General features: G+C 48.8%; 2 protein-coding genes across 2 annotated transcripts in view, besides 7 other annotated features; one reads left to right on the top strand and one right to left on the bottom strand.

Moving 5' to 3' along the window:
• RGS9BP (regulator of G protein signaling 9 binding protein) lies at window positions 8357–10809 on the bottom strand. The gene has a single exon (NM_207391.3). It carries the CDS (start codon window positions 10391–10393, stop codon window positions 9686–9688), a length of 708 nt encoding a protein of 235 aa, NP_997274.2. The 5' UTR covers window positions 10394–10809; the 3' UTR covers window positions 8357–9685.
• Window positions 10113–10162: an enhancer, noted in NCBI's record as "active region_14432". NCBI's record gives its function as "activates an Ori minimal core promoter by ATAC-STARR-seq in GM12878 lymphoblastoid cells {active_cell/tissue: GM12878}" and the evidence as "EXISTENCE:reporter gene assay evidence [ECO:0000049][PMID:35858748]".
• Window positions 10563–10622: a silencer, noted in NCBI's record as "silent region_10485". NCBI's record gives its function as "represses an Ori minimal core promoter by ATAC-STARR-seq in GM12878 lymphoblastoid cells {active_cell/tissue: GM12878}" and the evidence as "EXISTENCE:reporter gene assay evidence [ECO:0000049][PMID:35858748]".
• Window positions 10930–11549: an enhancer, noted in NCBI's record as "H3K27ac-H3K4me1 hESC enhancer chr19:33166014-33166633 (GRCh37/hg19 assembly coordinates)". NCBI's record gives its function as "activates a minimal SCP1, AML or CMV promoter by ChIP-STARR-seq in naive H9 embryonic stem cells {active_cell/tissue: H9 hESC(naive)}" and the evidence as "EXISTENCE:reporter gene assay evidence [ECO:0000049][PMID:30033119]".
• Window positions 10930–11922: a biological region, named in NCBI's record as "H3K27ac-H3K4me1 hESC enhancer GRCh37_chr19:33166014-33166633".
• Window positions 10933–11042: an enhancer, noted in NCBI's record as "active region_14431". NCBI's record gives its function as "activates an Ori minimal core promoter by ATAC-STARR-seq in GM12878 lymphoblastoid cells {active_cell/tissue: GM12878}" and the evidence as "EXISTENCE:reporter gene assay evidence [ECO:0000049][PMID:35858748]".
• Window positions 11193–11922: a silencer, noted in NCBI's record as "silent region_10484". NCBI's record gives its function as "represses an Ori minimal core promoter by ATAC-STARR-seq in GM12878 lymphoblastoid cells {active_cell/tissue: GM12878}" and the evidence as "EXISTENCE:reporter gene assay evidence [ECO:0000049][PMID:35858748]".
• The window catches only part of ANKRD27 (ankyrin repeat domain 27), a 78175-nt gene continuing 64409 nt past the window's right edge, over window positions 11477–25242 (top strand). The window contains exon 1 of the mRNA NM_032139.3: window positions 11477–11586. The gene's annotated coding sequence lies outside the window, so the exon portion shown is untranslated. The remainder of the gene's footprint in view (window positions 11587–25242) is intronic.
• Window positions 11943–11992: a silencer, noted in NCBI's record as "silent region_10483". NCBI's record gives its function as "represses an Ori minimal core promoter by ATAC-STARR-seq in GM12878 lymphoblastoid cells {active_cell/tissue: GM12878}" and the evidence as "EXISTENCE:reporter gene assay evidence [ECO:0000049][PMID:35858748]".

Below are 25242 nucleotides of genomic sequence, written 5' to 3'. Positions count from 1 at the left end.
AGACAGAGTCTCACTCTGTCGCTCAGGCTGGAGTGCAGTGGTGCAATCTCAGCTCACTGCAACCTCTGCCTCCCTGGTTCAAGTGATTCTTGTGCCTCAGCCTCCCTAGTAGGTGGGACTACAGGCGTGCACCACCACACCAGGCTAATTTTTGTATTTTTAGTGGAGACAGGGTTTCACTGTGTTGGCCAGGCTGATCTCAAACTCCTGACCTCAGGTGATCCACCTGCCTCAGCCTCCCAAAGTGCTGGGATTATAGGCGTGAGCCACCACAACTGGCCTGTATTTACTTTTGTTTTGTTTGTTTTTGAGATGGAGTTTTGCTCTGTCGCCCAGGCTGGAGTGCAGTGGCATGATCTCAACTCACTGCAAGCTGTGCCTCCCAGGTTCAAGTGATTCTCCTGCCTCAGCCTCCCAGGTAGCTGGGATTCCAATTTAAACAACAGAATAATATTTTCTAGATGACAAAATTATTCAAAATTTTATCGTAAGAACAATATAATCTCATTCCGGAAAAATACTGAAAAACACCATTCATAATCCTACCACTTTGTTAATATTAATATATATTAATAATATTTTTATTTCTTTACTTCCCTGTAGATCTTTCCATATGCCTAATACGTACATACAAGCAGGGGACACTCAACTTTGCTTTCTGGTACTAGCATATTAAAAGTACTCTTTAAATATATGTATTTTTTTTTTTTTTTTGAGACGGAGTCTCGCTCTGTCGCCCAGGCCGGACTGCGGACTGCAGTGGCGCAATCTCGGCTCACTGCAAGCTCCGCCTCCCGGGTTCACGCCATTCTCCTGCCTCAGCCTCCCGAGTAGCTGGGACTACAGGCGCCCGCCACCGCGCCCGGCTAATTTTTTGTATTTTTAGTAGAGACGGGGTTTCACCTTGTTAGCCAGGATGGTCTCGATCTCCTGACCTCATGATCCACCCGCCTCGGCCTCCCAAAGTGCTGGGATTACAGGCGTGAGCCACCGCGCCCAGCCTAAATATATGTATTTTTGAAACAGAGTCTCACTCTGTCGTCCAGGCTGGAGCACAGTGGTGTGATCTCGGCTCACTGTAACCTCTGTTGCCTGGCTTCAAGTGATTCTTCTGCCTCAGCCTCCCAAGTAGCTGGGATTATAGATGCATGCCACCACGCCCGGCTAATTTTTGTATTTTTAGTAGAGATGGGGTTTCACCATGTTGGCCAGGCTGGTCTCGAACTGCTGACCTCAAGTGATCTGCCCACCTCAGCCTCCCAAAGTGCTGGGAATTACAGGCGTGAGCCACTGCACCTGGCCAGAAGTACTCTTTAAATCCTTTTGACAACAGGAGCTCTTATTTGGCTTATTTACATTGGTCTTAATAAGCCTTAAAGTTTTAAAATTCTCGAGCCAGTGCGGTGGTTCACATCTGTACTCCCAGCACTTTGGGGGGCCAAAGCAGGCAGATCACTTGAGATCAGGAGTTTGAGACCAGCCTGGCCAACATGGTGAAACCCCATCTCTAGCAAATACAAAAATTATCCGGGCATGGTGGCATGCACCTGTAATCCCAGGTAGTCTGGAGGCTGAGGCATGGGAATGTTGAACCCGGGAGGTGGAGGCTGTAGTGAGCTGAGATCGCACCACTGCACTCCAGCCTGGGTTGACAGAGCAAGGCTCTGTCTCAAAAAAAAAAAAAAAAAAAAAATTCTCAAACACCAAAGAACAAGTATGCCCAAGATCTCATGGTACTGCGATAAAAACATCCAGAATCTCTTCTATGGAATTAGATGAAAAATAAGTGAGAAAAACATCTTTCCAGATATTATTCATCTTGTCCTCATGGAGAGAAGACTGCAACATGACCTTCAGTCAGTTCCTAACAGCCAGAAAAAACAATATTTGAAATATGACTTTGATCTGTGTTGACCATAGCCAAAGATCTTTCATATGGAGACCTATCTTCTTGGATTGCATCCTGCATTAAAATCTGAGTATAATCATATTGTGGGCTGGGCTGGGCAGGGTGGCTCACACCTGTCATCCCAGCACTTTGGGAGGCTGAAGCAGGCAGGCAGATTGCTTGAGCCCAGGAGTTTGAGAACAGCCTGGGCAACATAGTGAGACCCTGTCTCTACTAGAAATATAAAAATTAGCCGGGCATGGTGGCACCACATGTGTAGTCCCAGCTACTCAGGAGGTTGAAGTAGGAGGATCACCTAAGCCCAGGAAGTAGAGGCTGTAGTAAGGCGTGATCGTGCCACCGCATTTCAGTGTGGGCAACGGGAGTGAGACTGTCTCAGAAAAAAAAATCACATTGCAGAAAAGCACTTGGAGATTTATAATCCTGAACATCTTCTTATGTAATGAAATCTGTGAAGGGTAAATACATTGATCAGGATGTTCACTCCCACTCAAATATCAAAAATTAAGAATATATATATTTTTAAAAGGCCAGGTGCAGTGGCTTATGCCTGTAATCCCAACACTCTGGGAGGCTGAGGCGGGTGGATCACCTGAGTTCAGGAGCTTGAGACCAGCCTGGCCAACATGGTGAAACTCCATCTCTACTAAAAACACAAAAAATTAGCTGGGTGTGGTGGCAGATGCCTGTAATCCCAGCTACTTGGGAAGTTGAGGCAGGAGAATTGCTTGAACTCAGGAGGCAGAGATTGCAGTGAGCCGAGATCATGCCATTGCACTCCAGCCTGGGAAACAAGAATGAAACTCCATCTCAAAGGAAAAAAGAAGAGGCCAGGTGTGGTGGCTCATCCTTGAACCCAGGAGGTGGAGGTTGCAGTGAGCCATGATTTCACCACTGCACTCCAGCCCGGGTGACAGTGTGAGACTCTGTCTCAAAAAAAAAAAATCACAAGTTGAGGCTGGGCACAGTGGCTCCTACCTGTAATCCCAGCACTTTGGTGGAGGATCACGTGAGGCCAGGAGTTTGAGACCAGCTTGGGCTACATAGCAAGGCCCTGTTTCTTTTTTTTTTTTTAATTTTATTTTTATTTAACTTTTTCCCCTTTTTTTCCTATTATTTATTTTTCGTTTTTTTAAATCACAAGTTGATGTCTGAATCATTGGAAGGTGCCTTTTCCCACTGTTATTATTTTTAATTATGGCATGCTATCCTTAATTTTTTAAATTAATAGACCTTCTAGTTTGAGACATCATTCAAAAAGTAGACAAAGCCAGGCATGGTAGGGCATGTGCCTATAGTCCCAGCTACTAAGGAGGCTGAGGCAGGAGGATCGCTTGAGCCTGGGAGCTCAACACTGCAGTGGCCTATGATCACACCATGCACTCCATCCTGGGCAACAGAGCCAGACCATGTCTCTGAAGATGAATAAATGAATAAAACAAAATAAAACATTTCTAAAAATAAAACAAAATCAAAGAGTAGACAGGAAGTCCTGAATTCCATCCACCTTAGATCTGATACCACATACAAAATCAAGCTAGGCTGTGCTCGTGTTTCCCAGTGGTAAAGCAGCTCATGCAGTTCTAAGGCTACCAAGTTACTTATGGGATAGGATTCTCCCAGCCTCCAAGACAAATGACAGAGCTTCCTATCTACTGTTTCCCAGGCTCTGATGTTCAGGTGGCCTGGATTGCTGGGTAAAACAGACTGTTTTAATAATCAGTGGGCTTTCTTAGACTCCGACTTAGAGCCTGAATTTAAATTCCTAATCTAATTTAAATACTACCAATAAGTAGCATTTACACACATTTGCTTTTAAGCCCATACACTAATTCTGATGTGCACTGAAAGCATGATATGCTTAGTTACTTCTGATTTTGAAAATTAATTTGAAGTTTAAAGTATTTTTATTAGTTTTTGAAACTAATATTAGACAATAACCAGCAAATGATATGATTCCATTCCATTATACACAAAACCAACCAACTACACCAAAAAAGACAAAAACAAAACCAACAAACATAGCCCTTTCTTGTTTAACTGCATTTTGTTCAATGTTTTAAGCTCTAGAAGGGGAATCTTTGAGTTAATCAGGTAGGACCCTCATTTTGCAAATGAGAGACATGAGGCACAAGTAGGTCAATGACTTATTGAGGTACTTGGAGAGCGAGGCAGTGTCCTCTGCCCATCGCAGCTGGCCAGGCCTTGCAGGAGGAGACACACCCAAAAGAAATGTAGAGGCCAGTTCTACCACATTCATTTCACGCCCTGGGGCTCGCACCCTTAAAAAGCATTCATTGCAGAACAGAGAAGTACATTTTGAACAGGAGTAGAGTAGTTAAACATGTACCAATGTGCACATTAAAAAGCAAAATAAAATGCAGCATTGTCAGAGTCCTCATGGAAACTAGAACTCTCTTTAACCAAAACTACTTTTTAGTCATTCAGTATCACATATCTTTTATGTTGCTTACGGTAAACGTCAGGTAAATCATGATATTTATGCTTTAATTTTATTTACCAAAAATATTTTTTTCCTTATGGGATTTAAAAGCACATATTCTTAGCTTGTGCACAATAGCTCATGCCTGTAATCCCAGAACTTTGGGAGACAGAGCTGGGAGGATCACTTGAACCCAGGAGTTCAAGATAGCCTGGGCAACATAGGGAAACCCCATATCTACACAAAATTTTTAAAATAAATTAGCTGGGTGTGGTGGCATGCACCTGTAGTGCCAGCTACTCGAGAGACTAAAGTGGAAGAATCACTGGAGCCCAGGAATTCAAGGCTGCACCGAGTCATGATCTTGCCACTGTACTCCAGCCTGGGTGACAGAGCGAGACTCCGTCTCAAAAAAAAAAAAAAAAAAAAAAAAAAGCAGCTAGGCGTGGTGGCTCATGCTGGTTATCCCAGCACTTTGGGAGGCCGAGGCTAGTGGATTGCTTGAGCTCAGATGTTCAAGACAAGCCTGGGCAACATGGTGAAACCCCATCTCTACAAAAAAAAAAAAAAAAATTAGCTGGGCGCCTGTAATCCCAGCTACTTGGGAGGCTGAGGCAGGAGGATCACTTAAGCCCAGGAAGTGGAGGCTGCAGTGATCCAAAGTTGTGCCACTGCACTCCAGCGTGGGTGACAGAGCCAGACCTTGTCTCAAAAAAAAAAAAAAAAAAAAAAAAAAAAAAGAAAAGAAAAGAAAAAAAGCATATGTTCTTAGAATACATAAAAATAATTTGCCAGGCATTTTTTTCTCCTACAAATATTATTTTTACTAATAACAAAAGCCCAGATCACATTCTTCTGAAATCAAAGTTTCCATGATAAAAGCCTTGACATTCCAAGTTTTTGTCTTTTCAGTGTCAGCTAACACAGTTTGAATTTTTTGTTTTTTTTTCCTACACTTGTATCATAGTTTAAGGTCATACTAAATGTTCACAGAAAATTAATGACTTATGCATCAAACATCTCAATTTAATCAGGCTTCTATTAGAAAGCAATCTCTTGCATTACATATAAAAATGAGAGCAGAGATACTAGTTAGAGAGCAGCCTATTGCACAAGGCAGAAAGTGATTTTGCTTGTCGTATAGCAGAAGTTCTATTAGGCAATGTCATAACTCCAAATAATACCAAATACCCCTAATACTTAAAATTTTCAAACTCAAAGAGCTGTTTATGTTAATAGGTCCAACAGGGTGAGTATATTTATTGTAATTCAGCTTTTTTTTTTTTTGCAATATTTTATCACTAATTTCAGCGAGCAGAAGACCTTCAGAATCAAGTACACATCTGATCCACATATAACTAAATACCCAAAGATCAGCCAAGTGGGTAGAAAGAGTGACAACAACAAAAACTTGTTTATCCTGCCGGGCATGGTGGTGCAAGCTTGTAGTCCCAGCAATTCAGGAGGCTGAGGAAGGAGGATCGCTTGGGCCCAGGAGTTTGAAGTTGCAATGAGCTACAATTGCACCACTGCACTCCAGCCTGGGTGACAGATTGAGACCCTGTCTCAAAAAGAAAAACCTTGTTTTTCCCACTGCCCTCAGTGAAACACACATCTGATGGGTTGTTTCAACAATAGGTTCTGCTAAACCATTTTAAAAAAAAAAATTCATAACCCGAAACACCTTGATAAGAACAAAGGTTCCCAGTCTTAGAAACAGTAGAATACCTTTAGGACTTCATTTTTAGATACATTTTCTTTTCTTTCTTTTTTTTTTTTGAGACAGAGTCTTGCTCTGTTGCCCAGGCTGGAGTGCAGTGGCACAATCTTGCTCATTGCAACCTCCACCTCCTGCATTCAAGCGACTCTCTTGCCTTAACCTCCTGAGTAGCTGGGACTATAGGCATGTGCCACCATGCCCGGCTAATTTTTATATTTTTTAGTAGAGATCGGGTTTCGCTATGTTGGCCAGGCTGGTCTCGAACTCCTGGCCTCAGGTGATCCACCTGCCTCAGCTTCCCAAAGTGCTGGGATTACAGGCTTGAGCCACTGTGCTGGCCTAGGTATATTTTCCAACACAGGGTAATGAAATGTCCCAGCCTTCTCTTGCCAGAGATGAGACTCTGGGGAAGGTAACGAGAGAGTCCATATGTGGGAGGAGTGGCTTAAAAACGTTCTATGTCATTTTCAAAGGCACTCTGGGCAACCAGGTGCAAAAGAATTTGAAGTGGCCCCTATTCAGATTCACCCACACTGGGTGAAGCAAGAGGTTCTTGTTATTAGTAATTGTCAGCTAAGCATGGTGGTTCACGCCTATAAATCTCAGGGTTTTGGGAGGCTGAAGTGGGAGGACTGCTTGAGCCCAGGTGTTTGAGACCAGCCTGGGCAACATAGTGAAGGCTCCATTTGTACAAGAACTAAAAAATAAAAATATTTTAAAAATTTGCAGGGTGTGATGGTGCACGCCTGTAGTCCCAGACAGGAGGCTGAGACAGGAGGATCTCTCAAGCGCAAGAGTTTGAGGCTTCAGTGAGCTATGATTGTGACACTGTACTCTAGCCCCGGTAACATAGAGACCCAGTATCTTAAAAAAAAAAAAAAAAAAAAAAAGTAATTGCAAAACATTTAATCAGCTTAAGACCTTGTGGGTCTTTTAAAAGCATGATCACAGACACAAACACAGATCCTACATTTGCCCTATCTGAGCTGCTGGAATCTCTTGGTCCTCCTGAGGAATAGTGGGGGGTTGGGGGGAGAGTGAATCTTAAGTCTGGGTGTCCTGACAGCATCCCTTCTGCTATCCACCTCTGCCCCTTGGTCCTCCAAGCGGCCCATGTGAAAAATGGCCAATTCCTTTCCCCTGGTCACCCCTGTTCTCACTTCTGGGGTAAAAAAGAATTAAAAAAAAAATCCTTGTCAGTTTTCAGCCAAAGTCTCTGGAATTTATTGCAAATTACCTTTAGAAAGTTAAATGTGGCCTGGCGAGGTGGCTCACGCCTGTAATCCCAGCACTTTGGGAGGCTGACGTGGGCAGATCACCTGAGTTCAGGAGTTCAAGACCAGCCTGGCCAACATAGTGAAACCCCATCTCTACCAAAAATACAAAAATTAGCCGGGCATGGTGGCAATCGCCTGTAATCCCAGCTACTCGGGAGGCTGAGGCAGGAGAACTGCTTGAACCCAGGAGGCAGAGGTTGCAGTGAGCCCAGATCACGCCACTGCACTCCAGTCCGGGCAACAAGAGTAAAATTCCATCTCAAAAAAAAAAAAAAAAAAGAAAAAGAAAAGAAAGTTAAATGCATCTGTTTTTACAGCCTAACTTACCCAAGAATGGGACAGAGCTCTCTCTGGACCACAGGCAGGATTTGGCAGCACTGCTCAGGCAGATGTCATCCTGGGACCAAGGACCAAGCATTTTCTTACTTGTTGATCAAAAGAATTAAAGGCCACTTAACATTCTGTCATTTACACTTGTGTGGCTACTCAAGAATATAGATTTTATTTTGCAGTGAAATTATAGAAAAAAATAAAGAATATTGATTTTAGACTGAGCATAGTAGCTTATGCCTGTAGTCCCAGTACTTTGGGAGGCCTAGGTGGGAGGACCACTTGAGGCCAGGAGTTTGAGACCAGCCTGGGCAACATAGCCCAACTCTGTCTCTACAAAAAATTAGTTGAGTGCCGTGATGCACACCTTTAGTCCCAGCTACTTGGGAGGGTGAGGTGGGAGGAGAGCTTGAGCCCAGGAGTTCAAGGCTGTGGTTTGCTGATTGCGCCCCTGCACTCCAGCCTGGGCGACACCACAAGATCCTATCTCTAAAGAAAAATAAAAATAAATAAATAAATTAACTGCCTTAAAAACATTAGCCAGGTGCGGTGGCACACACCTGTAGTTCCAGCTACTCAGGAGGCTGAAGTAGGAGGATAGTTTGAGCCCGAGATTTGGAGGCTGCAGTGAGCCACAATCACACCATTGCACTCCAGCCTGGGTGACAGAGGGAGACCCTGTCTCAAAAAAGAAAAAAGTGGGGGGGGGGGAAGACTATCAACTTCAGAAGTAGATGAAATATATATTTAGTAATCTAAGTATCTACATAAAGATACTATGTTTGACTCATTGGCAGGTATGAGTTCATGGCCCAGCGTTCTTTATTAAAATAACAGCTTTCATAGTACACGCTGTGGTTACGTCATTTTTCTTTCAGAGTATTATTACCTTTTAAAAGCTTCTTAAATCCCAAGTTAAAGCTGTTACATTCTAACCCAGTCTCAGAGCTGATTGGCTCAAAACCTCTGTGGGCCAGTAATGCCACATTACCCCGGAGGGGCGGGCAGCGCGGGGGTCAGGGAGCTGCCAAAGCCAGCCCTCCTACTGGCCAGCACGCACATTCCAGGGGATAAATAGGATTAAGTGCTCTAAAGAGGATTCCCAGCCCTCCTGCAAAGGAGGTTCAAACACTCTGGTCTAGTTCTGAACAAAAATAAGCCCCAGAGAAGGAGAAAGTGCCTGTTTAAACACCAGGTGGCCCTACCCCAAGCCTCTGCTCTTCCTCTTACCCCCATCTCCGGGTGGCTGGGGAGAGCCCTTTTCCGCAGGCAAGTGTGCGCACTGGATCCAAGTCCGTGAGAGTAGGTTCAACCCACCCTCTTTGGTTTCCTAAATAGGGTCAGCCCCTGAGCGGCAGTGGGAGGTCATGACCTCAAATCTCTTCTAGCTGCTCTTGGGGACGAATGGATAAACTCTGCTAGGAAGGGCTGTAGCGCGTCTTAGAGAAAGCCCTTTGTATGAACTGCTCTCGGGACACTCTCCTAAATTTAGGCCCTGAAAGATTAAGGTAATAAAAGCTGCTGACATTTGATTGCAATTTTTCTTGTCCGGGAAACAGACCAACCACATAGAACCAAACAGCGTCCCTCTCCAAACTTCACTCCACCCCACCCACCTTTTCAAACTGTCCCACGCAGAAAGGGGGCGACGCTGGCAGGGGTGGGCACCGAACTCGGACTCCCTGTAAAGACGCCCCAACAGCACATGTGTTAACTCATTAACTCGGAGGGATCTAGGGTCACTGTGACGGTTTTCTATTAATAGGGAATAAAGCTCCTGCAGACGTTAGCGGTAATGCCCTGACGGCCGGCGCAAAGTTAACTCCTCCCGGGCCAGCAAGAGGAAACCGTGTCCTGCCCAGGCAGATGTGCACTGGAAACGCGCGTGTACCCATGCACACACGGGGTTTTAGGACCACTCCCCTTGCACAGGCCAGACCCCACACCCATCCCGAGTCTTTTCTCAGGGGAGGGAGCGGCAGCAGCAGGCGGCCGTCGGGTGTCCGTCAGCTCAGCTTCGCCACGCACACGGCTAGGGCCACAGCCGCCAGCAGCACGGCGCCGAAAAGGATGGCGGCCAGGGCCTTCCTGGGGTCGCAACCCCCCCCGCGCTCCTGCAAGGACACGACCGAGGAGGGGCCGGCGCTGACCGTGGACAGGAGCTCGGCGCCCGCCGCCTGCCGGGCTTGCACGGTCCAGCGGGGCACGTTGACCTTCATCTCCATGTTGTCGATCATCTCGCCCACCTGAAGGACCTCGCGCTCCAGCTCCCGCAGGTCCGCGACGTCGAAGTCGCCCTCCGCCTCGAGCCGCAGGCTGCGGGTGCTCAGCGCGCGCGCCGCCACGCCGGAGGAGGCGCCAGCCACACCTGTGCGCACCAGCGGCCGCCGCGGCGCGTGCAGCGGGAACGCGGCGCCCAGCTCCAGCGCGCGTCGCATGTCCGCTTCCAGCAGGTCCAGGCAGCCCGAGAAGGCCACCCAGAGCCGCTCGAACTCGGCGCGCTCGTCGGCGGCCAGGCCCCGGTCGCGCAGCACAGCAGTCAGCCGGGCGCAGGTGGACACCGCCAGCTCCTGCGCCTTCTGGCGCGTCTTTTGCAGCTCCTGCCGCAGGTTCTGCGAGTCCGCCGAGCCACCGACGGTCAGCACCAGGTGGTGGTAGCACGCAGTCGTCTTGTTGAGCCCGTCCAGCAGCGCCTTGCACTCCTCCCTCGCCATCGCGGTGGGCTCCGGCTGGGCCCGGCCGCCCGCGCCCGTTAGCCTCCCCCTCAGCGCGGCAGGATGTGGCTAACCCCCATCCCGGCCTTGGGCCGCGCGGCACGAACGCTCTTCATGGTCCGTGACTCGCTCGGCGCTACCGCCAACGTCCACGGAGCCCGCCCGGGACCCTCGACGTGCGCCTCTGCGGACGGGGCGCGCAGAGGGAGCCCCGTTAGCGGTCCCCCGCTCCCTCGTCCATCCTCCCCAGGCGCACTCCGAGTCACACGTCGTGTCTCTGCACCGCCCTGGCCTCCACGGTGGCTCCCTGCGAAGCTGAGGGTGCGGTCCCCATCCTCCGTGGGTGCCAACTCCGGGGCAAGCAGGCTGCAGAGCCGCGCGCTCCGCCTTAGGCGCTGCCAAGGGCGGCCGGGTAGGGTTTCCTAGGACCCGCCCACCCCGCTCGTCCCGGCCGGAGCTGCCACCCCCTGGATCAGTGGTAGGCGGGGCTCCACGCGGGGAGGTCACGTGTGGGTGGCCCATCCCTCCCTCCCCTTCGCCCCATCCGAGTTCTGGAATGTTAGCGCTCGGGAGATCCAACCCGTTCTATTTTACGGATGGGGAAACTGAGGCCCAGGTAAAAAGCGGGCCAGGCTCCCGCGGAGTTTTTGCCTGTGATGGGACTAGAACCCAGCTATACTGACTCCCGGACCCTGTCGGCGACAGGACGTCGGGTGCCCCGCAGGACTGGGCACCTCCGTGCCCCAAAGCGAGCAGTGACTGGCAATCCGAGGGGCTGGGCGCCGCCGGGGTCAGGTGTCCCTGCCGCGTTGCGCTCACGTTGGTCGGTGCTTCCAAGCGCTAACCCCACCTCTAGTGTCAGCCCGGCTCCCAGCCCCGCCCCTCACGTTCTGGGCACGCGCAGTTGCGGGCGTGGGGCGGGGCCAGCTGGAGTAGGAAGCGTAGGGAGCCGCCTGAGCCCCGCCCCCGGCTGGGCTGGACTCCATGATTGCTCTGCGTACACGTCACTCTGGGAAACGACGGTTTCTCATTGGGTCAGCTGTGGCGCGGCTCCGCCCCACGGCGGAGTAAGGGGTGGGCTATAGGGCCAGATCGCCGCGCGAGGGTGGTGGGCATCGAGGTCCCAGCAGCGGACGAGGGAGGTGCCGCCGTCGCCCAGGATGGGCTGGGAATGAAGCGATGTAGCCTTTTAAGTAAGTGTCCTCGCGCTGGCCTCCTCCTGCGCCTCCCCTCCCGCGGGATGGCTGCGCCTCGGGGCGCGGCGGCCGGGCGGGGCCCGGAGAGTGAGGGGGGAGGGGCTCCCTGCTCTCCGGAGTCCGCTCCCGGGTCCGCCAGGTGGCCCCGCGCCGCCCCAGCCCCCGCGTCCCCAGGTGGGTGCCCGGTGCGCAGCCGGCGCGCCCTGCCCACTCCGCCCCTCGGGTCTGGAGGAGGGGAGCGGTCGGCGCGGAGAATGCACCCTCCGAGCCTCGCTGCGTCGACACCGGCGGGTGTGGCCGGGGTGCCGGGTCCGGCGGTTCGGATCTGGCGGGGCGCGGGGCGGTCGCCGCGCGGTTTCCCGGAGGCCTAGGGTCTGCTGGAGGGGAGCGGCGGGTGGGGGTCCGAGCCGCGCGCGCAGCGGTTGTGGTTTCCGGGGGGTGATGAGGGCGCGGAGCGGGGAATCCCTGGCTGCCGGCCTCTCGCAGGGCGGGGGGGTCTCTGCATTCCCACAGGTAAAGATTGTTAAAGGAAAACTCTTAAGCACCGAGAGATGTTCCGGATTCTGAGTCTGTTCCGTCTTGTGGTTGAAAATGGACTGCCCAGGAGCACACGAGCCACGCGGTGCCCCCTTGGCTGCCCCACGAGGTGCAGGGGACGTGGGCACTCGCGGCCTGTGCTGGGCGAGGGAGCAAGGGACGGGTCTTCGCTGAGGATTTAGAGCATGCAGGGAACGAGGGCTGCTGGCAGTGCTGGAGGGACTGTGAGGCTGCAGAGAGCTCAGATTTTACAAGTTGATGGGTTTCATGGATAGAGGCCCCTATTTTGATTAAAAAATGCACTCTTCCCACTGGCCGAAGAGTAGAGCAGTGGATATTTTTTTTCTTTTCTTTCTTTTCGTTTTTTTCTTTTTGAGACAGGGTCTGGCTCTGTTGGCTAGTCTGGAGTGCAGTGATGCCATCATAGCTCATTGCAGCCTCAAACTCCTGGACTCAAGCAATCCTTTCACCTCAGCCTCTGTAGTAGCTGGGACTACAGGCGCATGCCACTATGCACGGCTAATTTTTAATTTTTTTTTTTTTTTTTTGTAGAGATGGAGTCTAGCAGGTTGCCTAGGCTGGTCTTGAACTCCTGGACTCAAGCCATGCTCTCGTCTTGGCCTCCCAAGGTGTTGGGATTACAGGCACTAGCCACCACGTTTTGCTGAGCAGTAGCTGTTACGTTTCGAGATCAGCCTGGCATGAGGACTGGTGTTGAGGTGGCCTAAGGGTCCGGTGTACTGAGCCCCGGGGCCTGCTGTCACCCAGGGGTCCGTCCTTTAACTGGGTGAGCAGTAGGCTGGGTGTTTGCTGCCAGGGCTTGGGTACTCCTGGCCTTGACCATTGTGTGGAAGGGGGGTTCTCAGCCACCCACACGCTACATAGGGTCGTTCCCAGGGGGATAGTAGTTTTCAGGACAAAATGGGTGGAAAGAGGGAAAATACTCTTTCCCTTCGGGGGAAGCTTTGGAGACAGCAGAGGGTGAGGAAGCTGCAAAGGTGGCCAGAGGCCAGATGTGCCAGGTCCTGAGCACCTAGCAGAGAAGTTGAGGGCTCACCTGGTGGGGAGTGCAGGGGAATCCTTTGAGGAATCCTGCAGAGCTCGGCGCTGGAAAGATCGCTTTGTTGTGTTGCTGGTGGACAGGCGTGAGTGAAATCCAGGGGGCAGATCCAGGAGGCACAGCCCGTAGGCCTTGGAAGGAGGGGATGCAGGATGGGAGCAGGAGCAGAGACTTCTTCTGACCAGCCATAGGGACAGGAATGCACCTGGGGATCTGACATTGGATAGACTTACATTCCCAAGTTACACCCAGTCTTGCCTGGTGACCTGAAATAATCTTGGCCGGCAGCTTCCCTGGGAGGGCAGGCAGAGGTGTCTGCAGAGGGCCGGGGGTTAGGGTCTCCGTTGTGCCTCTTTGTGACTGTTAGACTGTGTCTCCCTCACCAAGACAGCTGCTGGGTCTTTGTTAGTGATGTTTCTGTGTCCCAGTTAAGGTTTCTGTGGCATCTGCCCTGCTGGGGCTCTTCCTGTCTGTCATTTGCCAGCATTAGGTTGGTGTCCAATGACTCCATCCTCTCATAGAGGAGTGGAGGAATGTGACCATGTCATGATAGGTACCAATCCTAGAAAGGATTCAGCCCAGAAGGATCCAGACTTGATTTGTCCTGAGGTTGATTCTCCATCTGAGGAACACTGAGAAGCGGCCCTAGAGCTCCTGCCCATCTGCCCAAGATACTGGTGGAGGGTGCATGGTGGTTCTTCTCCCTGTGGTCCGGGAACAGGGTGATGCGGTGGCATTCGGAGGGGCTGTTGTGCTCCTCCAAACTTTCCCGCTCCCTGCATGGTCCCGCCCTGGTTCCAGTCCTGGCTTCTCTCTAGCCCTGCCCATTCCAGCTATCACTGTGTTGGGCTGGCACTGAGCATCCTGATTGTTTTGGGCTTTTTGCCTTTGTGCTTGCTTGGCTATGACCTGGGGTTAGCCCCTCACCTACCCTGGATATGGACAGTGGAGTTCCAGCTCTTGTGAGAGATGACCTCTCCCTGGGAGCTGGGGCTTCCTCTTAATGCCCCACTATCGTTTTGTTCAAGTGGGTGAGCAGTTACTCCATCTCTGCAGGGAACCAGGCGCAGGGCTGGGTGCTTTAATGAGAAGCTTTGAGAAGAATATGGACAGGATCTCTAAATGTTATAGGTCAGGAGGACACAAGTGACTGTAACAGCATACATACATCACCACATTGCTTCCATTGGTGTGAAAAATAGATGAATAGAAAGTTTTCGTTTTTCGCCTTTTCCTTCTGAATCATAAATTAGACCAAATGGAGAATACTGCTTATCTGTTGGGAAGCGTTCCTGGTCAGAGTGTTTGGTCAGAGCCCCGGAAGGGCGGGAACGGCCATCGCAGTGAGATTTCAGCAGGGAGTGCATCTCTAAGGAGGCTGAATTCCCCCATGCTGAATTCTGCTGAGCTGGGCTGCACGCTGTCACCAGACGGTTCTTGACCACCCAGACTTATCTGGGCTAGCAGGACGGTTGAAGACCACAAAACCACGAGTGTGCACGCTGCTCCCTGAAATACTAGTTTGAGGCCTCACATGGCTCTCCTGTTCATAGAATAACTGCAGATAACTCACATTTAGAGGTATTTGGTATCTCCAGCTAACTCAACTGGATTTTCTGTACATTTTCCCATCATTTGAGCCCAGGCAGGGATGGAATTTTTTAAAAGAAGTTTTATAAGAAGATTCACTTATCTTTCCAGTTTTACAAGAAAAAGTCCATTTTCTTTGCATGTTATTTTAAAATAGCAAACTAATTCTTTTGTTTGTTTTGTTTTTGAGATAGGTCTCACTCTGTTGCCCAGGCTGGAGTGCAGTGGCCCGATCTCGGCTCACTGCAACCTCCACCTCCCAGGTTCAAGAGATTCTCGTGCCTCAGCCTCCCAAGTAGCTGGGATTATAGGTGTGGGCCACCACAACCAGCTAATTGTATTTTTAGTAGAGACGGGGTTTTACCATGTTGGCCAGGCTGGTCTGAAACTCCTGACCTCCAGTGATCCACCCGCTTTGGCCTCCCAAAATGCTGGGATTACAGGTGTGAGCCACTGTGCCCAGCCAGCAAACTAATTCTTGCAGGTAAACTTGACAGGGTATAAAACTGTTTTTTTAAGCATTTACCCTTATGTAAGAATTCAACTCTGGCATTAAGCACCAGATCATATGAGATTATTACTTTTTTTTTTTGGAGACAGGGTCTTCCTCTGTCGCCTAGGCTAGAGTGCAGTGGTGCAGTCATAACTCATTGCAGCCTTGACCTCTTGGGCTCAAGTGATCCTCTGGCCTCAGCCTCCCCTGGCTGGGTGTGTGCCACCATACCCATAGATAATTTTTTGATTTTCCTGTAGAGACAGGGTCTCACTTTGTTGCTCAGGCTGGTCTTGAACTCCTGGGCTCAATCATCTGTCAGCCTCAGCCTCCCAAAGTGCTGAGATTACAGGTGTGAGCCACTGCACCTGGCATATTACAGATTTTTTTTTGTCATTTTTTGAAATGGAGTCTCACTCCGTTACACAGACTGGAGTGCAATGGTGTGATCTTGGCTCACTGCAACCTCCACTTCCCAGGTTCAAGTGATTCTTCTGCCTCAGCCTCCCTAGTGGCTGGGATTATAGGTGCCCATGCCTGGCTAATTTTTGTATTTTTAGTAGAGACAGGGTTTCACCATGTTGGCCAGGCTGGTCTTGAACTCCATCTCAAGTGATCAGCCCGCCTCGGCCTTCCAAAGTGCTGGGATTACAGGTGCTAGCCACTGTGCCTGGCCCTTTTTTAAATTTTAATTTACATTTTTTATTTTTTATTGAGACAGAGTCCCCCTCTGTTGCCCAGGCTGGAGTGCAGTGTCATGATCTTGGCTCACTGCAACCTCCGCCTCCTGGGTTGAAGTGATTCTTATGCTTCAGCTTCCTGAGTACCTGGGATTACAGGGGTTTGCCACCATGCCCGGCTAATTTTTGTATTTTTAGTAGAGACAGGGTTTTGCCATGTTGGCCAGGCTGGTCTCAAACTCCTGACCTCAGGTGATCCGCCCGCCTCGGCCTCCCAAGCCACTGCACCCTGCATGTTACGTATTTTTAACACTAGGACAGAAAGGTTGAGAACAGTGTCGGACAGAGGTCCTTTTTCTTCTTTTTTTTTCATGTGACAGCACGGATGAAAGGACAGAGCTCTTTGAATCCCTACTCCTGGACAGAGGATTCAGTCTTTAGTGACCAAGAAGACTGAGGTCCAAGATAAAGCAGATGACTTGGGGCTGGATAACAGCAGGCCCTGTCCGCACAGCAGTGCTTGTTAAGGGCGTGGTGTGTTTACACAGTTCTTGCATGTGACCTGCATGTTTTGATGTGGCACTCAGTGACCTTCCTGTCTCTTGCTGTTCTGCCCCTTTCTGGCCTCTGCTTGGAGTCTTACTACTTTCCCATCCTCTAGTTCATCCCCTTCCCTGCCGTTTTTTTCATTTTCTTTCTTTTTTTTTTTTTTGTGACGGGATCTCAGCCTGTCACTCAGGCTGGAGTGCAGTGGCGCCATCTCGGCTCGCTGCAACCTCCACTTCTTAGGTTCAAGCAATTCTTCTGCCTCAGCCTCCAAGTAGCTGGGACTACAGGTGCCCATCACCACGCCCAGCTAATTTTTGTATTTTTAGCAGAGACGGGGTTTCACCATTTTGGCCAGGGTGGTCTTGAACTCCTGACTTCAGGTGATCCACTGCCTTGGCCTCCCAAAGTGTTCAGATTATAGGTGTGAGCCACCACGCCCGACCACTGCTGTTTTCTTCTGTCTCTGGTCCTTACCTCCCAGCTCTGTTTTTAGTTCGTCCATGGAAGCCTGTCCTTGTTGCCTCATCTTGCGGGGTGGAAGTATTGGTGTTCCTCCAGCATCTTTTCTGAAGCAGAAGGAGCGCCTTTTCCCAGCTTGAGTCTGACCATATTGCATCCTGTTTCTCACATGGCTTTCATCCAGAGCATCTTTACTTTTGCAATGTGCCACATAGAACCAACTATGTCAGGAACTAGAAAGAGTTTTGTGTTCTTGTGACTCTGTCCCAGCAAAATTGCATTATCTCATTGTGGTGGAGACTCATAAAAGGATTATCTGGGCTCCAGTAATAAGTGAATTTAATGATTCAAATAGCTGAGTTATTGCAGAGGCACCCCTGGGGCCCAGGCAGGGATTATATGCGACCATTTTTATGTTAGTCTCTTCTCCCTAGGAGGACTGGCGGAGAGCTCACAGGCCTTTTTCAAGCAGAACCCAGGGCACCTGCAGCCAAGACAGTTCTGGCTGGACCTGGGGAATTAGTTGAGGGGCCTGTGTGGCTGTCTGTCTTGTGGACTTTTCTTCTGTTGAAATAAAATATGACTCTTAGGCTGGGCATGGTTGCTCACGCTGTAATCCCAGCGCTGTGAGAGGCTGAGGCGGGAGGATTACTTGAGGCCAGGAGTATGAGACCAGCCTGGGCCACATAGCGAGACACCATCTCTACTAAATGAATGAATGAATGAATGGCTCTTATTTATCCTTGAGTCAGCCAGCTGCATCTCAGTTTCTTCATCTGTGACACAGGCTAGTGATACCTACTTGCCTAGAGTTATTGTGAGCATTAAGATAGGATGAGTGCTGGGTGCAGTGGCTCACACTTATAATCCCAGCACTTAGGGGGAGCTGAGGCAGGAGGATCACTTGGGCAATGTAGCGAGACCCCATCTGTACTGAAAATTAAAAAATTAGCTGGGCACGGTGGCTCACGCCTGTAATCTCAGCACCCTGGAGTCCGAGACAGGAGGATTGCTTAAGTAACTTAGTGAGACCCCATCTCTACAAAGAATAAAAAAAAAATTAGCTAGGCATGGTGGCTCATGCCTGTAGTCCCAACTACTTGGGAGGCTGAGGCAGGAGGATCACCTCAGCCCAGGAGGTCAAGGCTGTAGTGAGCTGTGATTGTACCAGTGTACTCCAGTGTGAGTGATAGAGCAAGACCCGTCTCAAAAAAAAAAAAAAAAGATGAAGATAAGACTGGGCACAGTGGCTTATGCCTTGTAACCCCAGCACATTGGGAGGCCAGGGCAGGAGGCTCACTTGAGGTCAGGAGTTTGAGACCAGCCTGGGCAACATAGTGAGACACTGTTTCTACCAAAAACAAAACAAAACAAAAAATTTAGGCTTGGCCAGGTGGCTCATACCCGTAATTGTGGCACTTTAGGAGGCTAAGGTGGGAGGATTGCTTGAGGCCAGGAGTTTGAGGGTGCAGTGAGCTATGATTGTGTCACTGTACTCCAGCCTGGTCAGTAGAGTGAGACCCCAACTCATAAATAAATGAAGGTAAGTAAGTAAAGATGAGGATGTATAGAAGTTATTGCAGTGCCTGGTACAAGGACTCTCCCAAATGGTGGCTATTTTTACCATTAGTTCCAAGGAATAGAATTCATCATGCAGTTATGTATGCATAGTGTTTTCCCAAGGAAGCATTCTGGATCCCTGTTACATAGTGAGAGAGTAGCTCCTATTTCATATTTCATTCATTTAATTGTATCAAGGATAAATTCACTTTTACGCTTTTTAAATAGTTGCTGATTTTCTCATTTTAATGAAGAGAGAAGGCCCCAGGCTCAAGCTTAGCATCTAATGACTTTTTTTTTTTTTTTTGAGACGGAGTTTCACTCTTGTCGCCCAGGCTGGAGTGCAATGGCATGATCTCGGCTTACTGCAACCTCCATCTCCTGGATTCAAGCGATTCTCCTGCTTCAGCCTCCTGAGTAGCTGAGATTACAAGTGTGTGCCACCACGCCCGGCTAATTTTTGTATTTTTAATAGAGATGGGGTTTCACCACGTTGGCCAGGCTGGATCCGCCCACCTCGGCCTCCGAAAGTGCTGGGATTATGAGGTTTTAAATAACAGTAATTACCTTTATAATTTTTAACTTTAAGATGATCTTCTCTTCGTTGGAAGTGATACCATTTTTCTATTTAAAGTAGTAATAAGATTTCTTTTTAAAATAAATTTTAGGCCAAGGATGGTGGCATATGCCTGTTGAGCCAGGAGTTCAAGACCACCCTGGGCAACACAGCGAGACTCCATTTCTACAAAAGTAAACAAAAATAAAACAGAAAGGAAAATACATTTTTATAAAGACAATAAGTTATTGAAGGAAAATGTCAAACACTAGCAAGAGAGCCATTATGTGTAATTGTTGGGCAAAATTGTGCTCACATTGTGGGCAGGTTGTTCACTGCCCAGCAGCAGGGGCCGTGCAGCATGTTACCTAGGAGCTGCTCACTAGCCTAGTGCCCTTGCACAGAGCTGCGCCCCCTGGGAAGTCGGGTGCCTGTTTCTAATTCTCACAAAGGTCCCATGTGAGCTTGCAGTAACTGGTGCTATGTTGATATGCAGTACTGCATGTCACAGATAGTGAAGGTGGCATGGAAATGACCCTCATAAGAGTCCTGCAGACAGGTATTAGCATTCTCTGTGGTGCAGGCCCAGATGGAGGCTCAGAGAGGTGGGATGACGTGGTTAGAAATCTGATCTCCTGGCTGGGCATGGTGGCTCACGCCTGTAATCCCAGCACTTTGGGAGGCCGAGGTGGGCGGATCACTTGAGGTCAGGAGTTTGAGACCAGCGTGGCCATCATGATGAAACCCCGTCTCTACTAAAAATAAAAAAATTAGCCGGGAGTGGTAGTGCACACCTGTAATCCCAGCTACGAGGGAGGCTGAGGCAGCAGGAGAATTACTTGATCACAGGGGTGGAGGTTGCAGTGAGCCGAGATTGCACCACTGCACTCCAGCCTGGGCAACAGAGTGAGACTCTGTCTCAAAAAAAAAAAAAAAAAAAAATAGAAATCTGATTTCCTTTTCTGTGCCCATTTTGTAGGCACCCCCTCTGAGAGCTCATTGGCTCAGAGGAGCAGACCAGGGGTGATGAGGAGCAGCTATAGAATGTTTCATGAAACACACAAAGCACTGGTTCACATTAGTTAGCAGCATGGAGCAGTCTGCAGACAGCAACATCCTTCAAACAGCTTACTTCCTAAAGTGAGTTGAACACTGACCTGTAATCTTCTTTTGGCCGTTCACAGACCTTTCAGTCATGAATCATGGAAGGGTCTTCTCTGGCTTCAGAAGTCCCAGTTCTGATGGTAGTGGTAGGTGTGTTCCATACTGATTCTTATTTTATCTGTACAGCGTGACTCTGATGTAAGTCCATTTGGCTTTTGCTTTTAGAACCTTACCTAAAATAAGCAATCTAATTTTAGCAACCCCTTTCACAACAGCAGCAAAGTCTATACAGAATATATAAATAGTCTAATAAAAGTCGTATACGATCCTTATGGAAAAGTCGGAGGACATCGAAGAAGACATTCATGGAAAGATATACCATGTATGTGGATGATAAAATTCATAATTATAGGGCTGAGTGTGGTGGCTCACGCCTGTAATCCCAACAGTTTGGGAGGCCGAGGTAGGAAGATCACTTGAAGCCAGGAGTTCAAGACCAGCCTGGCCAACATGGCGAAACCCCGTCTCTACCAAAAAATACACACAAAAAGTTAGCTGGTGTTGTGGCGTGTAGTCTGTAGTCTGAGCTACTTGGGAGGCCGAGGTACGAGAATTGCTTGAACCCAGGAAGCAGAGGTTGCAGTGAGCCAATATTGCGCCACTGTACTCCAGCCTGGGCAGCAGAGCAAGACCTCTGTCTCGAAAAACAAAAAAAACGGCAGGCTGGGCGCGGTGGCTCATGCCTGTAATCCCAGCACTTTGTGAGGCCAAGGCGGGCGGATCACGAGGTCAGGAGATCGAGACCATCCTGGCTAACACAGCGAAACCCCATCTCTACTAAAAATACAAAAAATTAGCTGGGCATGGTGGTGGGCGCCTGTAGTCCCAGCTACTTGAGAGGCTGAGGCAGGAGAATGGCGTGAACCCTGGAGGCAGAGCTTGCTGTGAGTCAAGATCATGCCACTGTACTCCAGCCTGGGTGACAGAGCAAGACTCTGTCTCAAACAAACAAACAAACAAAAATTAGCCTGGTGTGGTGGCGGGTGCCTGTAATCCCAGCTACTTGGGAGGCTGAGGCAGGAGAATTGCTTGAACCCGGGAGGCAAAGGTTGCAGTGAGCTGAGATTGTGCCACTGCACTTTAGTGTGGGTGAGAGAGCGAGACTCTGTCTCAAAAAAAAAAAAAAAAAATTCATGAATTTAGTGCGGGTCCAATAAAAATCCTAATAGGATTTTTCATGTAATTGACAAGGTGATTCTGATTCATTTGATATTGTAAAGGACAAGGAATAACCTTTGGAGAACAAGCTGGAGGGGAGCTTTTCTCTGTGAGTTAGTAAGGCTTATTATGAAGCTGTAGTCATGTAAAATAAATGTTCATATGTGGTCTCTCCCTGCCCTGTCCAGTGTAATAGCTGCTAGTGGCTATTGAGCACATGAAATGTGGCTAGTATGAATCGAGAAGTGCTGTAAATGTAAAATGAACACTAGATTTTAAAGACTTAAGAATAAAAAAATGTAAAATATATCATTAATAACAGTTTTTTTTTTTTTTTTTTTTGAGACAGAGTCTCACTCTGTCACCCAGGCTGCTGTGCAGTGGTGCAATCTCAGCTCACTGGAGTCTCTGCCTCCTGGGCTCAAGCGATTCTCCTGCCTCATCCTCCCGAGTAGCCTGGCTAATTTTTGTATTTTGTAAAGATGGGGTTGCCCAGGCTTTTCTCGAACTCGTGGACTCAAGCAGTCCACCTGCTTTGACCTTCCAAAGTGGTGGGATTACAGGCATGAGCCACTGTGCCCGGCCATCATGAAGAACTTTTTATTATTATTATTATTATTATTATTATTATTATTATTATTATTTGGGGATGGAGTCTTGCTCTGTTGCCCAGGCTGGAGTGCAGTGGCACAATCTCGGCTCACTGCAACCACTGCCTCCTGGGTTCAAGCAGTTCTGCCTCAGCCTCCCAAGTAGCTGGAATTACAGTCACCTGCCATCATACCTGGCTAATTTTTGTATTTTTATAGAGACGGGGTTTCATGATGTTGGCCAGGGTCTTGAACTCCTGACCTCAGGTGATCCACCCACCTCAGCCTCCCAGAGTGCTGGGATTACAGGTGTGAGCCACTGTGCCCAGCCAATAACTTTTAAATAATGATCAAGTCAAGTGCAGTGACATATACCTGTGGTCCCAGCTACTTGGGAGGCTGAAATGGGAGGACTGCTTGAGGCTGGGAGTTCAGGGCTGTGGTGAGCTGAGATTGTGCCTGTGAATAGCCACTGCAACATAGCAAGACCCCGTCTCTAAAAAACAAAATAAATAATGGTCACATGTTGAAAATATCATATTTTGGATATATTAAGATAAAATATATCATTAAAATTAATTGCACCCTATTTCTTTCTTTTTTTTTTTTTTTTTTTGAGACAGAGTCTCGCTCTGTCGCCCAGGCTGGAGTGCAGTGGCGGGATCTCGGCTCACTGCAAGCTCCACCTCCTGGGTTCACGCCATTCTCCTGCCTCAGCCTCCCAAGTAGCTGGGACTACAGGCGCCCGCCACTACGCCCGGCTAATTTTTTGTATTTTTAGTAGAGACGGGGTTTCACCGTTTTAGCCGGGATGGTCTCGATCTCCTGACCTCGTGATCCGCCCGCCTCGGCCTCCCAAAGTGCTGGGATTACAGGCGTGAGCCACCACACCCGGCCCCCTATTTCTTTTTTAATGTGCTACTAGAAAATTTAAAATGACATTGTGTATTTCTATGTAATATATACATAATTGTATTTCTCACATGTGACAGTAAGACCCTTGAAACAGAGTAGAGCCTGGAAACAGGCTAAACATACGTGGGATCTTGGAGTGTGACAGCCGTAGCATTATCAACCTGTGTGAAATGGATAGAATATTCAAAAAATGATGATGGGACGATTGGCTTACTATATGGAGAAATATAATTAGACACTTGATTTATAGCATGTACAAAAATCCAGATGGATTGAAGACCTAAAAATAGAAAACTTTACTCTTTTTAGAAATCATAAGGACTATCTTTATGGCTTTGAAATTGGAAAGGACGTGGTTTCAGGTAGCCTTTGCTGTGTAACAAACCCACCCAAAATGTAGTGACTTCAAACTGCCACAATTTATTACTTCCTACGTTGTGTGAGTTGGGTGGGTGGTTCCTCTACTGGTCTCAGCTGGGATCCCTCAAGGGGCTGTATTCTGCTGGTGGGTTGGCTGTGCTTGCTGGGCCACCTAGGCCTCGCTCTCCCCCCATGGCCTTTCATCATGTGGGCTTCTTCATAGCATTGGGATCTTGGGGTACCAAGAGAATGAGAATGGAATCCGCAAGCCCTTTTATAAGTGTGTATGTATGTATATACATTTACTTTTCTTATTTCTTGAATGTACTAAGACTTTTTGTTTTGTTTTGTCTTTGAGACAGAATCTCACTCTGTCACCCAGGCTGGAGTGAAGTGGCGTGATCTCGGCTCACTGCAACCTCTGCCTCCTGGGTTCAAGTGATTCTCCTGCCTCAGCCTCCCAAGTAGCTGGGATTACAGGCACATGCCATCACGCCTGGCTAATTTTTGTATTTTAGTAGAGACGGGGTTTCACCATGTTGTCCAGGCTGGTCTCAAACTCCTGACCTCAAGTGACCCACCCGCCTAGGCCTCCCAAAGTGTTGAGATTAGAGGCGTGAGCCACCGTGCCTGGCCTTTTTTTTTGTTTTTTAAAGAGATGGGGTCTCACTCTGTTGCCTAGGCTGGAGTGCAGTGTTTCAATCATAGTTCATTGCAGCCTCAAACTCCTGGGCTCAAGCGATCCTCCCATGTCAGCCTCCCGAGTAGTTGGGACTGCAGGCATGTGCCAGCACACCTGGATAATTTTTGTATTTTATTATTTGTAGAGACAAGGTCTTGCTATTTTGCCCAGGCTAGTCTTGAACTCCTGGCCTGAAGTGATCCTCCTGCCTTGGCCTCCCAAGGTGCTGGGATTACAGGAGTGAGCCATTGTGCCCAGCCCCTGTAAGACCTCTTGAAGCTGACACTCACAAATTGTACAGCATCGATTCTGCCTGTTGGTTGAAGCAAGTCACAGGGCTGGCTCTGATTCAGGGGCTGCGGAAATGAGTCTACTTCCTTTTTTTTTTTTTTTTTTTTTTTTTGGAGACTGAGTCTTTCTCTTTTGCCCAAGCTGGAGTGCAGTGGCAGGATCTGGGGTCACTGCAATCTCTGCCTCCTGAGTTCAAGCGATTCTTTGCCTCAGCCTCCCAGGCAGCTGGGATAACAGGCACATGCCACCACACCCCACTAATTTTTGTATTTTTGTAGAGATGGGGTTTTGCCATATTGGTCAGGCTGATCTCGAACTCCTGACCTCAAGTGTTCTGCCTGCCTCGGCCTTCCAAAGTGCTGGGATTATAGGCGTGAGCCACCGTGCCTGGCCTACTCTATCTTCTGATGGGGGAATAGTGAAGTCACTTTGCAAAAAGACCTGCCAGAGGATAGGCATGCCAATTACAGATTTCTTAAGGCTCAAAAAGCACTGACCTTAAAAGCAAAGAGTGGCAAATCCAATTATTGTTGACCCTTGAACAATATGGGTTTGAACTGTGTGGGTCCACTTATATGTGTTTTTTTCAACCAAATTCAGGTTGAAAATACCATATTCACAGGTTGCAAATTTCTGTATATGGAGGGCTGACACAGACATGTGAGTTCCACAGGGCCGACCATGGGATTTGAGTATGTATGGACTTGGGTATACAAGAGGATCCCAGAACCAATCCCCCAAGTATACTGAGGGATGACGGTCCATTCACATCAAAACTTCTGGCCAGGCACAGTGACTCATGCCTGTAATCCCAGCGTTTTGGGAGGCTGAGGTGGGAGGATTGCATCAGGCCAGGAGTTCAAGTTCAGCGTGGGCAACACAGCAAAATCTCATCTCTACAAAAAGTAAAAAATAAAAAAAAGGTTGGGCGTGGTGGTGCATGCCTGCAGTCCCAGCTGCTCTGGAGGCTGAGGTGGGAGGTGGGAGATCACTTGAGCCCAGGAGTTCA

Source organism: Homo sapiens, chromosome 19, assembly GCF_000001405.40.
Source record: "Homo sapiens chromosome 19, GRCh38.p14 Primary Assembly".
Taxonomy (NCBI): Eukaryota; Metazoa; Chordata; class Mammalia; order Primates; family Hominidae; genus Homo; species Homo sapiens.
This window is presented reverse-complemented; position numbering and strand designations above follow the sequence as displayed.